This window comes from Homo sapiens, chromosome 4 (genome assembly GCF_000001405.40).
Source record: "Homo sapiens chromosome 4, GRCh38.p14 Primary Assembly".
Lineage (NCBI taxonomy): Eukaryota > Metazoa > Chordata > Mammalia > Primates > Hominidae > Homo > Homo sapiens.
The window spans coordinates 84140460-84157632 of NC_000004.12; the positions used below are offsets into that span (position 1 = coordinate 84140460).

The window sequence follows — 17173 nt, forward strand, 5'->3', positions numbered from 1 at the left end:
ATAAAAATGCTTCTAGAAATAATAAGTAAATTTTATAAGAACACAGCTACAAGTTAATATACAAAAGTTAGTTGCATTTCTATATATTACTAATGATAAATTAAAATTTGAAATTTAAAAACATCATTTAAAATAGTACCTAAACAATAAAGTACTTAAAAATAAATTAAAGAAAATATGTACAGTTTATGTTGAAACACACAAAATATAATGGAAGAAAACAAAGGAAAATTAAATAACTAAAGAAATAAAATATATTTATGGATTTTAAGTCTTGGTGTTATTAAATCTATACATTAAGTGCATTTTCAATCAAAATCTTAACAAGCTTTTTGTAGATATTGACAAGGCGGTTCTAAAATTTATCTGAAAAGGGAAAGGAACTAAAAGCCAAAACAATTCTGGAAAAGAAGAACAAAGTTGGAGGACATACACTTGCCTATTATTAGTTTTACTATAAAGCTTTTGCTTTTATCAATAAATTAAGAGGCATAGAAAAAGGCAAAAATAAAACACAGTTTGATTACACAGTAATCAAGACAGTTGTATTGGTGAAGGGATAAATAAACAGATCATGGAACAGAATAGAGAACCCAGAAATAGACCCACACAAATACTATCAACTGATTTTTTGGCAGAGGTAATTCAGTGGAGAAAGGACAGTTACGATAACAAATGGTGCTGAAACAATTGGAAATCTACATAAAAAAAACCTCAACATAACTTATATAGAACATAACTCAAAATGCATAATATACCTAGCTGTAAAACATATAACTTTAAAACTTCCAGAAGATAACATGAGAGTGAATCTGCATGCCCTTTGGTTTGGTAATAAAGTTCTACATATAACACTAAAAGCAAAACTTATTTAGTACAATAATTTTATTTATAAAACTTCAAAATTTTATTCTTTAAGAGACACTGTTAAATGAATGAAAAGCGAGGCAACGGATTAGGAGAAAATATTTGCAAATCACATATCTGATAAGTGATTTGTATACAGAATATCTCAAGAGCCCGTAAAATCCAATAAGAAGACACAAGTGAATTAAAACACGGAAAAAAGATTTGAATGGACACTTCGCCAAAGAAGATATATGGGTGACAAAAAGCACATGAAAATATTTTCAACATCATTACTCACTAAAGAAATACAAAATAAAACAATGAGATATCACTATACACTTATCAGAATGGTTAAAATTTTTAAAAAGTCAATGAAAGTTGTCAGTCTAAAAAGGATACATACTATATGATTCCAACCATATGATATATTGAAAAAGGCAAAACTAAAAAAAGGATTAAAAAATTAGTGGTTGCCAGGGGTTTGGGAGAATAAATAGGTGGAGCACAGACGACTTTTAGGGCAGTGAAAGTACTCTGTATGATAGTATTATGGTGGATACATATCATTATACATTTGCCCAAACCCACAGAATACAAATACAAGAGGGAACCCTAATGTAAACTCTGGCTCTGGGTGATAATAATATGTCAATGTAGGTTTATTAATTGTAACAAATGTACCATTCTGGTGAAGGATTTTGATGATGGGGGAGTCTATGCATGTGTTGGGGATAGGGAATACATGGGAAACTTCTGGACTTTTAATTTTGTTGTGAACTCAAAACTGCTTTAAAAAATTAAGTCTTTTAAACAAATACTTGACAGTACCAAATGATGGAAAGGATATGGAGAAAACAGACCATTCATACATTGCTGATAAGAATGTATGGATACTTTGGAAAGCAATTTGATAGTTTCCTGGAAAGTTAAAATAACCAATCAGGAATCCTACTCACAGGTATTTATTTACCCAAGTGACTTAAAAACTATTTTCTCACAAAAACTCATATGTAAATTTTTATAGCAAAGCTATTCATAACTGCCACAAACTAGAAACAACCCAGTTATTCTCCAACAGCTAGATATAAAAACGTACTGTGGTACATCCATACAATGGAATACTATTCAGCAATACAAGGAACTAACTACTGATTCATACAACAACATGGATGATTCTTAAATGCATTTTGCAATGCGAAATAAACCACACCCCACAGGCTGCATGTTGGGTTTCAATTTTGATGACATTCTGGCAAAGACAAAACTATAGGAATGAAAAACAGACTTGAGCCAGACGCAGTGGCTCGCTCATTCATGCCTGTAATCTCAGCACTTTGGTGTGCTGAGACAAGACAATCACTTGAGGCTAGAGGATCACTTGAGGCCAGGAGTTCAAGACCAGCCTGAGCAATATAGTGAGACCCTATTACTATAAAAATAAAAATTAAAAGGAAAAAAAGATTTCTTCTTGGGGAAAGGGGAAGGATTGAGTACAAAGTACAAAGCTGCTGCACAAGGGAGATGTGAGGGGGATGAAACTGGGCTCTGTGGTACTATCGGTGGATACAGAACTAAATGTTTGTAAACACCTATAGATGTGTATAATACAAAAGTGCAACTTTTACTGTTTGCACACACACATACACTCACACACAATCAGTTAGGATGGTGGGGGAACCCAGGACAGAGTTCAGACTGTAACAAAACAATCTGATTGTACTACAAATGTAAGATGTCAGCTCGCTGAAGGGGATGGGGAAGAAAGGAGCTGATCTAAATAGCTGAAAAACTGTTTTGTCTGGGTACTCTAAAGTTAAAGATAAAGTGTACAAATATTGTATTTTAGTCAGTAAATTTGTTTCTCACAGAAGTACAATTTAGCAATTCTGAAATTATATTTATTAGCACAGAGTAAATAAGTAAATATATTTGAAGGAATAAAAACTAGGTTCCTCACTGTCAGAGAAAGAAGTTACAAATAACAACGGGATAAAAACCATGTGATACAGAATTAGAGCTGATGATGACTCTATGAATGTGTGTTTATTTATATGTGTGTTTATTTATATGTGTGTGCACACGTACTAGATAGAAACAGAAATGTAGCATGTGTGTGTACGTGAGTTGCATGTGTATACATAGACATATCCATATACATAATCCTTAGTGCTGTCTACTGAAAGTGCCTACAAGCAGTGATACTGCAGCAATATTGAGTATACCCAGCATCTATATCTTGGTTTCTAAGTACCAGTATCTAGGGAAAGAAACAGAATCCTTTGAGAAATGGGTGATTCTAGGCTGGGATACAGAAGATACAAGATAAATCTGAAGTATTTCTACAACTGCAAAGTAACAGGGAAAATGTATTTTAATGAGAGCATGGCCACCTGAAAGAATTCCCAACGGCCAAAACTGAAACAACTTGAACAACTAAATAAATGATAGTATTAAATTACAACCCTCTAAATAAAATACATCTCCATGGGTCCATACTGATAGAAATATATGATTGAATAAATATATGGGAGAGAAGACTCAAATCATCTTTGCAGATGAATTACAATGAAGAAATATAGAAGGAATGAGGGAAACAGAAAATCAACATTAGAACACCCCACAAATAATTGCTATAGGCAGATTCCTAATGAATGCCAAAATTAGTGGACAAAGCTTTATAGATATGCAACATATTTGCTAAGCCTCAAGGTGCATTTTTCAAAATATGTATTAATTACTTGCTGTGGTTTTAACATACGTCCAAAAATTCTTTGATATTCTTCCTTTCAGGAGGTGGAGCTTCATTCCCCTCCCCTTGAGGGTGCACTGAATTTAGTAAATCACTTTTAATGAATAGAGACTTTTGATGAATAGAGTATGAAAGGTTAAAAAAAGTTATTTTTATAACAATTTTACCAGGTTGGCAGACACCAGCCTAACAAGGTGATAAAGTTAACATCACCAGCAGTAAGTCATTTGATGTCATGTAATCCTGATATGAGGCAATGTGAGGACACTTAATCTCTGTGGTAGTCTTTAACAAAACCCATAATAATCCCAGTCTGATCATCAGAAGACATAAGACAGATCCAAATTGAGGGACATTCTATTTTGAAAGTGTCAGGATCATGAAATATAAGGAAAGACTGAGAAACCATCATAGAATGGGGGAAAATACAGAGACACAATGACTAAATGCAATGTCGGGTACTGGATTTAATCCTGGAAAATAAATTAGAACATTAGTAGAAACTGGGGAAATCCAAATAATGTCTGTTTAGTTAATAGTGTTATACCAATGTTACTTTCTTAGTTTTTATGATATACCATGACTACATAAAATAGTCACATTAAAATAGCTGACTGAATGGTATATGGGAACTCTCTATACCACTTTTGCAACTGTTCTATAAATCTAGAATTATTTTATTATAAAAGTTTTAGGCCGGGCATGGTGGCTGACACCTGTAATCCCAGCACTTTTGGAGGCCCAGGCAGATGGATCACCTGATGTCAGAAGTTTGAGACCAGCCTGACCAATACGGTGAAACCCTGTCTCTACTAAAAATACAAAAATTAGCTTGGCATGGTGGCGTGTGCCTGTAGTCCCAGCTGTTCGGAAAGCTGAGACAGGAAAATTGCTTGAACCTGGGAGGTGGAGGTTGCAGTGAGCTGAGATCACATCACTGCACTGCAGCCTAGGCAACAGAGCAAGACTCAGTCTCAAAAAAAAAAAAGTTTTAAAAATTCAATTATTCTATTCCCACTCACCAAATTGGTGAATTTTTGGAAATAGAAATCAGTAATCCCAAGGCTAGTCTAGTCAAGCCGTAAAGCCGCCATGTTGCAGTTGTACATTTTGCAGCTGGGCTCAGGCAACATCCTGAGTCTTGTTGACCAGTTTTCTCCACTCCCCACCTCCACATCATCACTTCAATTGACAGTCAAAAGAAGGGCAAGACTCCTGCCATTGCTCATGCTTTCCATGTAAACAATTTTCCCCTCATCCTGTTTTCCTTAAAACTTTGACCTAATTTCTTTCACATGCTGAGCTAATTCTCATGACGGTTTAAAGGTTGCTGAAAATATCATAAAGGTCTGCTAAAGTTCACAAACGAAGATGCCATTCATTCAAGCCCTGTGTTCTTGAGTCATCATTTCTTTAAATGCATGACATAAATACGTTTTTTTCTGTTCTATTGATAATTTTACATTAAGACATCATTAGAAAGCAGCATCTGGGCTGCTTTTCAAACCACACTAGCTGAACTCATTTTTTCCCCTTTACTAAAAAGGTGCTTAGTTCACATTTATGGATTTTCAATTAGCAGTAATAATAAAGAACAGTGTGTGGTGTTCAAAAGACTTAACTGGCTGCTTTCAAAGTAAATCTTTAAGTCCAATGATTAAGTTGTTTCTGATACTTAACAAAGGCATATATTTATGCTTCCAGAAATTTAGTGCATTTTGGGGTTCATTTTCCAATAATTTTGATTCTTGGACATTTCTCATATGGGAGCATTTGTTCTTAGAGAGGCTTCACCCAGCAGGCCCAGAGAAACAGGAGGTTGGGAAGACAACATAGATTTACTAAGTAGGAGGTGTACCTTGGTTTCTTTCTCCTTGTTTTCTTTCAGGTGTCATTTTGTTCATTTTACTTCTACCAACAGAGAAGTGCCAAGACTGATGCATTGGGCAGAGGAATTCAGGAACTGGGAAAATATCTAGAAATCTTTATTTGCTAACAGAAATCATCAACACAAAAATGATTTCCACAGACAGCTTAGAACAACTAATTTGAGGACTAAATATGTCAGCATTTGCAAAGTGCAAAACAGGCACGGGGATTGCTCAAGGCCTCCAATCTCTCTTCGTAATAGTCTTTCCTCCCCTGTGTCTAGCATTCTTGATTTCAGAGACATAGCAGTGCTTTTCCACTGTTTCAGGCAAAATCGGCTATCATTCACTCACAATTCAGTATGAATTAAGTCAATGTCATCACCTCTAGGAATTACCTTTATTTTGAACTTTAGTCCTAATTTAGGAAAAGTGATTTGTTTCCAAGATTAAAAAAAGTTTAGCTATTGATTCTAAGAAAAATGGACAGAAACTAGACAAGAAGAGAACCTTCCTGCAGTCACAGATCTATCTGCCTGACTTAAGGTCGGCACACATGAAAACACTCAAAGGTGTTTTCTGTGACTTTCACTTACTGTAGTTTCAGGTTAAATCATCAGAGCAAGTATTATTTTTCCTTCTCCTCATTATTCACCTTGTTGTTACTTTAATCTTTGTTCAGTTTGACAAATGAGAATGTAGACAGAGGGTTAAAGAGGAATGAGCTGAATTCCATCCATATTCAGGGCCTGTGCCGACGTCCTCCCTGGGTTTAATGCTCCATATGGTTTGGCACAGTGACATTACTTCTCCTGCTAAAATACCCCTTAGCCTGTGTGGCATCCATCAGTTTGCTTGTTGACTTAGTTTCATTTTCTGTTTTCATGGCCTGCTCAACTGCCTGCAAAAGCATTAAATTATTCTTCTGATCTTTCCATCTCCCTGGGTTCACAAACTGCAATTTATGGAAGTCTTTAAAACTTAAAGGGCTTTCTGATAAAGGTAGATGCCAATGAAATGATAAAGGTCAAAGAAAAACAGTACACTTTAAGGAGGCAACACCTTTCACAGAAATGCCATATTTTCATCATATTTCATATCCTAAGGAAATATTACAACCCATAGAGAAGTCAATATAGAAATTTTGAAATGGAAGGGGCTTCAGAGATTGTCCAGTCCAATCTCATTTTACAGCTGTGGGCACTGAGGCTTAGTGAGGGTCACTCACAGAGTTTTTCAGCGGTAGAATTGGAAGTTGTATGGGGCACTCCCAAGTCAATTCACTGCTATATTCACCACATTGTGCTGACTCTTAATTGCATATTCTTAATGATAAAATAATATGAGGAAAAGGGAATAGCAACCAAGAGAAAGAAATGGAACATTTTCTATTTTCTTTTTAGAACCAGAGTCTTGCTTTAGAGTAATTTGTCTAACAGTAAAATGACCATCTACCTGATGGTGAAAACCAAACCATGGCATCTGGTGGAGATGGCATGCTGTTTCCCCCTCTCCCTTACATCTATATCTATATAGTCCATGAGCCCTAGTATGGCTCTCTTGGTAGCATTTTTGTTGCCATCTTTTTCATTTATATTGCCACTCTTGTAGCTCAGAACATTATAAGCGTACACCTGGGCCTTTGGAGTTGAGTTTTTTAACTGCTAGCCTTTGGTTAGAGTACTTTTCTCCCCCTTTCAGTCCATAATGAAAAGAACCACAAAACTGATCTCCTGAAGTATCACCTTCAACATAATATTATCATCAGTGGAATTTCTAATTTCTACTTTTTCTGACTTGTTATTCTGCAATCTTGAGGCTATGGTTCCTTCACCCTTCACTGTTTGCCTTTTTTTTCTTTTTCTTTTTCAGTCCTATGTTTAGCCAGTCCAAATAATGTTTCTTTAGGGCATAGTAACTGTGGGAGTTTCATGGTATAGAGGAATGACTAGGGGCACCAGGGATTTTCACAAACTAAAGACACCTCCATTTTACTTCTGCACAAATTACTTTCTCTTATATTCATATTTCCCCAGTGAAAAAGGTGAAGCAGCACCACATCACTCACCGCTGTTTTCATTTTAGCCCTACTCTCTGGACACTGTCATGAGAATGAATTACCTGCACTTGCCACGGATTTGCTGCGGTGCTGACCAGGAATGCTCTTGGGAGTTTGCTCACTTTGGCCTGGATTATGACTTTTTCCTTTTGAAAAAAAATAAAAAGAACTCAATATATACTAGTAAAACAGCATGAACAATTTTTTCACAATTTAGTGAGCATCATTAATATCTTTGTAAAACTATGTTCAAGACTTTATCAAGCTGACCCACTTCAGAGAAAATGAAGCCAGGAAGCTGGACATAGTTCCAAAGACCAATTTTTGCCACTCACATTGTGAGCTATTTCTCAATATTTAGCCAATATATCTTAGTCTTCCTTCATAAATAATGTTTTGTGCTACATTAGTACCACAAAAACAGCATGCCCTACTTTTGTCTTAAATTGAAAATTATCTTCAAAGACCAGGCATTTTGACCCTTTGATGGAGTTTTCCCTCCTGTCTGAAATTAGTAGAAAGTACAATCAAACAAAACAATGAGTACAAAACATAGTTTTTAAATATATAAAAATCCATGTAAATATATAAAATGTTTTTATATTTATTACCAGCTGTTTTTTGTGGGAGATAGGGGACAGGGTCTCGCTCCGTCCTCCAGGCTAGAGTGCAGTGGTGTAATCACGGCTCACTATGCAGCCTTGACCTCCCGGGCTCAAGTGATCCTCCCACCTCAGCCTTCCCAGTTGCTGGGACTGCAGACATGTGCCACCACATCCAGCTGATTTTTAAATGTTCTGTAGAGATGGTTTCATTATGTTGCCCAGGCTAGTCTCAAACTTCTGGGCTCAAGCCATCCTCCTTTGTCAGCCTCCCAAAGTGCTAGGATAAAAGGAGTGAGCCACTGCGCTCAGCCAGCAGCTCTTTGATTCAGCATTTTTGAATGAGTTTGATATGCCACTTAGACCTTATGTAAGACACCACAAATTCGAAGAGGAGTAAGGCATAGTCCCTATCATCAAGGGTTTTATCATCCAGGAGAGACTGTCAGGTGAAGAATCCATTGTAATTAGATGAGACAAGTACAATGTGACTATATAATAAATTGTCATATAATATGTCATACAAGTATTGTCACAACAAATATGGGCTCCTAACCTACATATTTTTTGAGGCTTTAAAAATCTACAACATTTTACTCTAGAAAAGTTATGGAAAATAAACATTCTCCCACCTGTCAACTCAATCTGTTGATAGTAGCTCTCTGAAGAACTGGATGGAGAAGCATTTAAAGCTATTTTCAAGCTCAGCAAAAAAAAAAAAAAAAAAGTTGTTTGATTAATTACTGATGCCAGCCATTGGCCTACAAGTAGGAAGAAAGGGGCTTGCCACCTCTCATCTATAACATGCAACTACTACATCACACTTTCTCTACCCTATCACATGGTTACTTTCAACAAAATTTTCATCATTTACACTTCATTAAGCAACTCTTTTCTGGGGATTATGAAGTTAAGAATAGAAGTTTCCCTCATGGCTTTTTTTTTTTTTTTACTTTCTGAGAGATGAAATCGTCGGCAAGTCAAGTCAAGAATTTACTCAATTAACTTCTTTAGCTTAATGAGACTTTGAGCTGATATTTGCATCCAATCACGACTGTATTTGTCTTTTTGCCAGCATTGTGACTTGCATTAGAATTTCTTGCCCAGCAAATAAAATTAAAAATTTAATCTTAAAATAGGAATTTCAGAGCCCAAAAGCAATCAAAGAAATCACAAAAGGAAAATCCAAAAGACTTAACTACATAAATATTCAAAATGCATTTAAAAATGTCAAAATCACACACACAAAAAAAGAACAAACAACTTACAGGGCAAGGAAAAATATTTTCTAAAAATGTAACAGGTAAAGAATTGATATATTTAGCTGTGTATATAGAAAATAATCTACTAGGTTGAAGTACAAATTAGACATGCGTTAAGCCTACAGAACTAAACTAAAAGTTATGCCCTCACCACCATACAAATAAAAGTTCATTTAGTTTAAAGAGCCAGACCTATCTACAAGTGACTCTAGGAAAAACAGTGGAGAATCCCATCAGGCCTCAGTAATATCACCAGTTTCTGGGGCCCTGTTGTGCAGTAACACTATTGGCAACAGATCCTACACACTCTAATGTGTCCTTGTCCACTGCTTATCATCCCTGCACAACCTGTAATAATTTATTACTTATAAACACTTCCATAGCAACTACTATGTACCAGGCAATCTTCTAAGCACTTTACAAATATTAACTTATTCCTCATAACAACTCTGTGTGGTAGGTTATCATTACTAGTTCCATTTTACAGTTGAGAAAATTGAGGAACAGAGAGGTTAAGTAGTTTATCCAAAGTCACACAGCGATTAGGTTAGTGTGAATGTGATTGTAGATTTTACAATTAAAAGTAATGGCAAAACAGCAATTGCTTTTGCACCAACCTAATAGTAAGTGGGGTATCTGGAGTTGAATTCAGGCAGCCTGATTCCAGAGTCTGTGCTCTCAAACATTTTCTGGGAAGGACTAACTCACTCTCCTGAATCATCCTCTGTTAAAGAAGTACCACGCTTGGCCTCCCAAGGACACTTCTTGCTCTTCTATATGTTGTGTCTTGGTTTTATTTACCAACTACACTAAGCAGGAATTAAGAGCCAAAGCAGGACTACACAAATGATAAAAGGATGCTTAGGACTCTGTGGGACCAAGAGCTCATTCTCTGGAAAAAATAACAATAAAAAAGAAGAAAGTTCTGGTAATGTTGAAGAAAGGGGAAAAATGATAACCAAAATATTCATTAGGAACTAAGCTGTGTCCTCCCAAAATTCATATGTTGAAGCTCTAACTCCCAGCGCAGCTGTAATTTGGAGATAGGACCCTTCAAGAGGTAATTAAGATTAATTGAGGTTATAATGATGGGCTCTAATCCAATGGGATGGGTGTCCCTATCAGAGAAAGAGACACTAGAGATGCACGTGCACAGAGAAAAGGCCATGTGAGGATCCAACAAGAGCCCATATACGACCCAAGGAGAGAGGCCTCAGGAGAAACCAAAGCTGCCAACACCTTGATCTTGAACTTCTACCCTCTGAAACTGTGAGCAAATTCATTTCTGCTGTTTAAGCCACCCAGTGTGTGGTATTTTGTTATGGCAGCTCTAGCAGACTAATACAATATTAATGAGAAAATATGATTAACTTTCAATACGGAGCATATCAAGAAAATAATAATATAGATAACCCCATGCTAATAAATTTTAAAATTTTAATAAAAGCACAACTTTCTGGGAGTATGAAAAGTCATGTAAATCATCTCAATGCTAACGTAGCATCTATTCCTGGAAATCAGGAAAGCATCTGTTTCTGATACAATTTCTTGGTAAAGAATAAATTAAAATATATTTCCTTCATATGAAAAACAAATCTATCTGGAATCAACAGCCAGTATCGTACTCAGTGTAACTACAGCCTGTACGACAGGTCACGAGCTTGCTGTGGCCCAAGGGCTAGATATCACCTACAGATAGATTTGTTTTGGCTGGTTTGTTGTTTCATTTTTAATTTGCTCTAGTTGCCAGCATTTAAAAATCATGATATTTTATATAAACTTCCAGGGCTTTGTTTTCTCTTCCACATTAGGCCCACATGACAACTAACTGTAGCTGAGTAGGGGTATGCCAACGCAGACTGGCTCTGTACATTCTGGCCTGCCAGTTACCAGCACTCTACCTAATTCCCTCTGTGCAGACGCCAGGTGGCAGTGACTAGGTTTTATGACATTTGTATTGTTGTTTTCCTAACTTGGCCTGTGTCACTTTTTTGCCCCTTGCCAAGTTTTTCTCAGCATTTGTGTTCATATCACTTCTTTAAAGGCAGTCCCATTACAGCCAGGAATTACAGTGCCCAGTGCTATCATTATTATTCAACATTATTCTGAAAGTTTTAACCAAGACATGAAAACAAAATCAAAGGCATAAATCTTGAAAGGGGAAGACACATTTGTAATCATTTGGAAGTTATATAATCATATATCTGTTTAACCCGATTCAAATACCATTAGAAATAATAATTTCAGCAAAATGGTATATTATAAAATAAATAATACATGTATCAATAGCTTTCCTATTTAATACTAATAATCAGAGACTAGCATGAGTTTTTAAGAATCTCATTTATAATGATAAAACACTTGTTATACAATAATTAACCCAATGAAAATGTTTTTTACCTACATGAATAAAACTATGAAACTTTAAGTCCAGGAATTATCCTAGCATATGTAAGAATTTAGCACATGACAATAATGGCATTTTGAACCAAGGGAAGAAAGGTTGGATTATTCCATAAATCATGCTAGGATAATGAGTTAAATCTAACCGCAAAAAAACAGAGTTAAATTTCTAGCTACAATTCATGCACATAAATGTATTAAAAGAGTACTCTGTGGAAATCAAAAGCCATACTGATTGAAGAAGAAAATAAAAGTAAATGTTATATTTGTTTTCATAGAATAACCTTCCAGCAATGTGAAAATATGGAAATAATAAAAAGTTTGATAGGTTCGGACACTAAAAATTTAAATATTCTATACATTAAAAAATTAAGTAAATTACAAGATGAAGGACAAACTAAAAACAAAATTTAAATGATATGATAGTTGAAAGGTATATAATTTATTACATCAAGAGTATCTATAAAATAATAATTAAAGGGAAATACATCAAAAATAAAAGCATGAATAAGAATTTATAATAAAAGGAAGAGAAATGGCAAATAGTATATTTTTATACATGCAACTTCACTGGAATACAACAAAAAGCAGTTATATCAAAATTTATGTTAAATCAATATTAAGTATTTATTTTATTATGACTATAAAGTATCCTTTATTCCAGAACCATCTAGTATTTTCTATTATTTCTTTCTTGCACAAATTTCTATTTTTCTTTAACTTAGTAATTGCTTATTAATATGTTTGGTCTCTTGGATGGATCCTAATTACCTAGTCTCTTCTGCTTTCCATCTTGTATGTTTTTCTTCTTTTTCTATTCTTAATTTCAACTTGCAATACTTTTACTGAATTTGTTGTTTTGGCTATACCAGATATTAATTCCTAGAGTTATTTCTTATTCTGTCAATGTTTTTCTTTATCATCTCTTATTGCCTTATCATGTACTATCTTCTCTCATCTCTTGGACAATAATATTGGTAGTTTTTCTTTTATGCTTAATTCTGCTGCCTGTATTGTTTCCATATTCCTGAATTCCTTTTTCTGTTTGCTATTTTAGTCTCTGGCTTTCATGTTAGTGGCTTTTCTCACATGTCCTCAGATCCTTGTCTGTCTGTGTATATTGTCTAAATAACTGAAAAACTGATTGGACACTCTGGGGCATGGCGGAGCCTATTGTATGGTAGTTAGTGATTTAGAAATTTGCTATTTTGTTAGGGCTTTCTGAATGGCCAGTGGAGGCCTTTCTTCTAGGATAATTAAATTTCTCCAGAAGGTAATCATCCAATCACCCGCCTAGTTTCCAGTGTTCTGGGAGCCAAGGGAGAAGGTCAAAAGTCACTGAGAAGATTTTCCCAGCAGGTCTCCTTGGTTTCCTTACAGAACCTTGCCCCCACTTGCTCAGGGTCTGGATCCAGAGCCTCTCTACTTCAGTCCCTCCAGAGAGTAATTATTCGTGTCTTCTGGCTCCTGGAGATGAGAATTGAGTGTCTATAATGGATCTTCAGGAGGTAATCTGGGGTTCTCATGGCTCCTTATACAGACTTTCAACTAACACTTGTGTTTTCAACCTCTTTATGCACTCTCTTCTCCAGAGGCTTTCAATTGTTCTGTGGATAGACTGGTTGCCTCCTCTCTGGGCTCGGCTTTTATCTTCTGCTTTGCCAAGTCATTCCCATTTAACCATCAGCTTCTTAGCTTTTGGGGCTTTGTTAGCCTCTCTCATTTGTTTTTCTTTCTTGTGAATTTATTCCTTTCTTGTGAATTTTAATGAAACTATACCTTTTTTATATTATATTCATTTTACTAGCAGTTGAAGAGGTTGCTGAGATAAACCCTTGGGTTCTATTTGACATATTTAACCAGAAGTCACAGTTACAACAAGAAAAGGACAGTTATAATAAAAATATCATAAGACAATCATAGCTACTTATGGCTGAAAGGGAGCTTAAACACCAATTATTTTCAAATTCTTTACATAAATATGGGAAAATAAAGCATAGAGAATGTTAATAAATTACCAGAGATATTCAGGTTATTTGAAGCAAAGTCAGGACTCTCTTATGCACCCTACCAGATGCCTTTTGGTTGTTTCTCAAAGAACTGCCATCCATTGGGAAGTGCCTTCATCTACAACATGTAGTATTATGCCCTTGACATCTATGTTTCTTCTCCATCAGTCCGATCCCTTGGTCATAGCAGATTGGATGAAGGTAGTGTACCAGATCTAATCTGGGCAAAAATTGTCTCCCATAGAAATTTTGAATTAGGAGGGACCCCAAGGTGCTACCTACTCCAAGATGATATTTTGAAAAAGGACCAGAAAGTACAGGCATAGATGGCCATCCACTTTCTATATGAACACAAAGTGAGATTATTGTATTAACCTTGCACGTAACCTTGCACAAAGACAACGAAAGTGTGTGTATGTGTGTTTGTGTGCATGTGCGCACATGTGTGCATGAACACATGCACGCATATCATCCTCCACCATACACCCTTTAGACTGGGTTCATTGTCCTTAAATAGCAAGCTTACTGCTTCCACGTTGCTTTTCTTAGATCTCTAATGACAAACAGCTTCAATATTGGTAGAGACAATAGATGAAATCCGTGTTTCCCGGAGTGGACTTGGTCTTCAATTGCAACTTAACCTGCCCTCAAAGCCTGGGTTATCTTAGGATAACACTTCAACTTTTATGCTTCTCTGGCTTTAAATAATTGCTGAAGGACAGAAAGTCTACCAAGGAAAGTTGGCAGGACTGAGTAAAGAGAGAAAGAGAGAGGAGAGGGGAGGGGAGAGGAAAACAGAGAAGAGGGTGCCCTCTCATGTAGGAATGTATGTAAAAATATGGAAACAAGCTACCAATGTGCCTGTGTAATTGTGTTTTGAAAATGATTGATGAGGATATATCTATGACATGCACTTTTTAAAGGAAAGAAACAACAAAAACATAAAATACCCAGTGCAGCTGACCCCTGCTGCTTTCCTTTCTGCATCTCTTTCTGAGGTGGATATATGGCTTCAGTTTCTTTCAAGTGTCAGCTGGAGACTGCTGGGGCTTTCTGTAACTCTCCAGGCCTCTTTGCCTTCTAGGAGCATTAAAAACTTTCCCAGTGACTTAAAGAAACCACACACATGCACGTACTCGAAGTGTATCCCTAGAGTGGTTCTACTGTGTTGGTTCTTTCTCTCATCTTTGGGAGCCTGTTGTTTTCATCTCCTGACAGACTCCTGGGGATGTGGTTGAAGAGAGGAGGTTGTGACAGAAGTAGAGAAGGTTTCTGATTAGTGAGAGCAACGGAAGACAGAAGAAGTTTCCAAAGCCTGACTTAATGATTGCCTCTCGAAAAGTGGGTGCTCCCTGCTTCCTCTGCTTTTGTCCCTTAAGTGGCTAAATTGCAGGTGGTGCTGTCCTGACAAAAGATCTAGATCACATTCTCATGACTTCACACAGAAAAAGTATAAACCAAGAAAAAAAGTCAGGCAGTCAAACTCACAGAAATTAAGCAGGAGAATAAAATAGATGTAATATATCCATTTCAGACCTTTCTGGTTATCACAACAAAAATAACGAATATTTATAACCACATATGACCAGACACTGTCAAGGACATTTTCAAATACATGATCTCAGTTTCACTTACTTCTGTGAAAGACATCCTTGCACCTGCCCTCACTCCCAAGCAGAATTGACCTGTCCCTCCCTTGTCCACCCACTGTACCATGCATATTGATTTATCATAGAGTCACAGAACACTGTGCTGCATTTATTTGTGTGTGTGTGTGTGTGTGTGTGTATATATATATATATATATATATATATATATATATATGTATATATGTCACTACCACCCCAGTAGACCATGAGCCTCTTAAGACAAATGGAAATTTCTTATTTGTTCTTGAAATATTAACACACAGTACGGACTGGCACAGTCCAAGCACGTAATATTGAACAAATAACTGATTTTAGCATAGAGAAACAATTTAATTTTAGGCAAGGTTTTCCAGCTCAACCCCCAAAAATATTCCCAGCCCATTATATGGAAGAAACAATAATTCCCACCCAACTCATGGAGCAGACAGAGCACCAGTCAATCTACCACAAGACCAGGTGCCAAACAGAGAGGAAACAGATCAGACTTGAGTTCTGACTCTGCCATTTTAAGTTCGTGGCCATCAGAAAGTTTCTTAATGCCTTGAGCCTCCATTTGCTTATCTGTAAAATGGGGTAAAGTATCTTGAAGGATAAAAGTAGTTACATAAAACAGTAAAATCCCTTATATGTTACCCAGCTCACAGCAGAAGGCCAGTAAGTCTCAGATCCTCTATAAGCAGGAATCTTCTCCACCAAGAAATTCTGGATGGGGATTGGGGTGGGGAGCAGATTCCTAACTAATCCCTGTCCTTTAAAAAAAACATTTAAAATAGTTTTGTGCTAGACTATTTAAAATAAAAAATGCCTTCTGGTATGCTAACTTGTACTTTGTAATTTGGAGTAAGAGACCAGATTTTTGCTATTTGAGAATAAATTTTATGTTGAGACTACGACTTTTTTAAAGAAGGAATTTCTACAATTCAGAAACTTGAACAAACCAAGGACTTCATAAATATATACTGAATGACTGAATAAATACAGGAATCAATCAATCAATCAATCAATGTGGCTAATGATGTTTCCTGAAGAGCAGAGAAGAATATTTTTCCCCAGGAAAATATAAAAGCTCCCCTGTAAACGTTCCAACTAAAGCTATTGTTAGAAAGTAGAAAAGTTGAGGCAGCCACTCAAAACGGTTTATTTTCCAGTTTATATTTATGATTCTGGTTTATTATGTTTATGGTCTAGACCTCAGTCAAGGAACTTGAATTGCATTTGGAATTTTTACTCCATGAGATATTTTGTTCATTTGTGGGTCACCTGCTTATGATTCCATCTACCTCACAGAAGCCAGCATCCATTTGTCTGGCTCCAACAGCTACATTGCCCTAGCTTAACAGTCAAGAGACATGACTCTGACACTTGCCAGTTTTGCAAAACTGTGCATTTTATGAACTTATTAGACTTTTTGTAGTCTTACTTTTAAAAAGAGATGGTTAAAACTGATTATTCACATCTATTCTGGTTATAAAATTAGAAGATTATTCCATAAAGTGGCTATCCTTCGGGAGGCTAAAATATTAGGAAACTCAGAGGCACTGAGCAGAACTCTCGCACTCACTCTATCCTATGCGAAAGCACCCTCCGTCATCTTTGGAGGCATAGCAGATGGCTGTAGTGCAACCCTTCCCTGTAGCTTGCCATGGGCTCCCAGTCTCCAGGCTCAGGTTTTGTGAGCCCAGGAACCCTTTGCTTGGTTTCTTGCACTTCCTTTCACCCCGCC

General features: G+C 36.2%; 1 long non-coding RNA gene across 1 annotated transcript in view; it reads right to left on the minus strand.

Moving 5' to 3' along the window:
* LINC02994 (long intergenic non-protein coding RNA 2994) overlaps positions 1-17173 on the minus strand; it is a 331088-nt gene that overhangs the window by 172378 nt on the left and 141537 nt on the right. The window contains exons 6-7 of the long non-coding RNA NR_125909.1: positions 8760-8797; positions 7588-7671 (exon numbers count right to left, since the gene is read on the minus strand). This is a non-coding gene — a long non-coding RNA (long intergenic non-protein coding RNA 2994). The remainder of the gene's footprint in view (positions 1-7587; positions 7672-8759; positions 8798-17173) is intronic.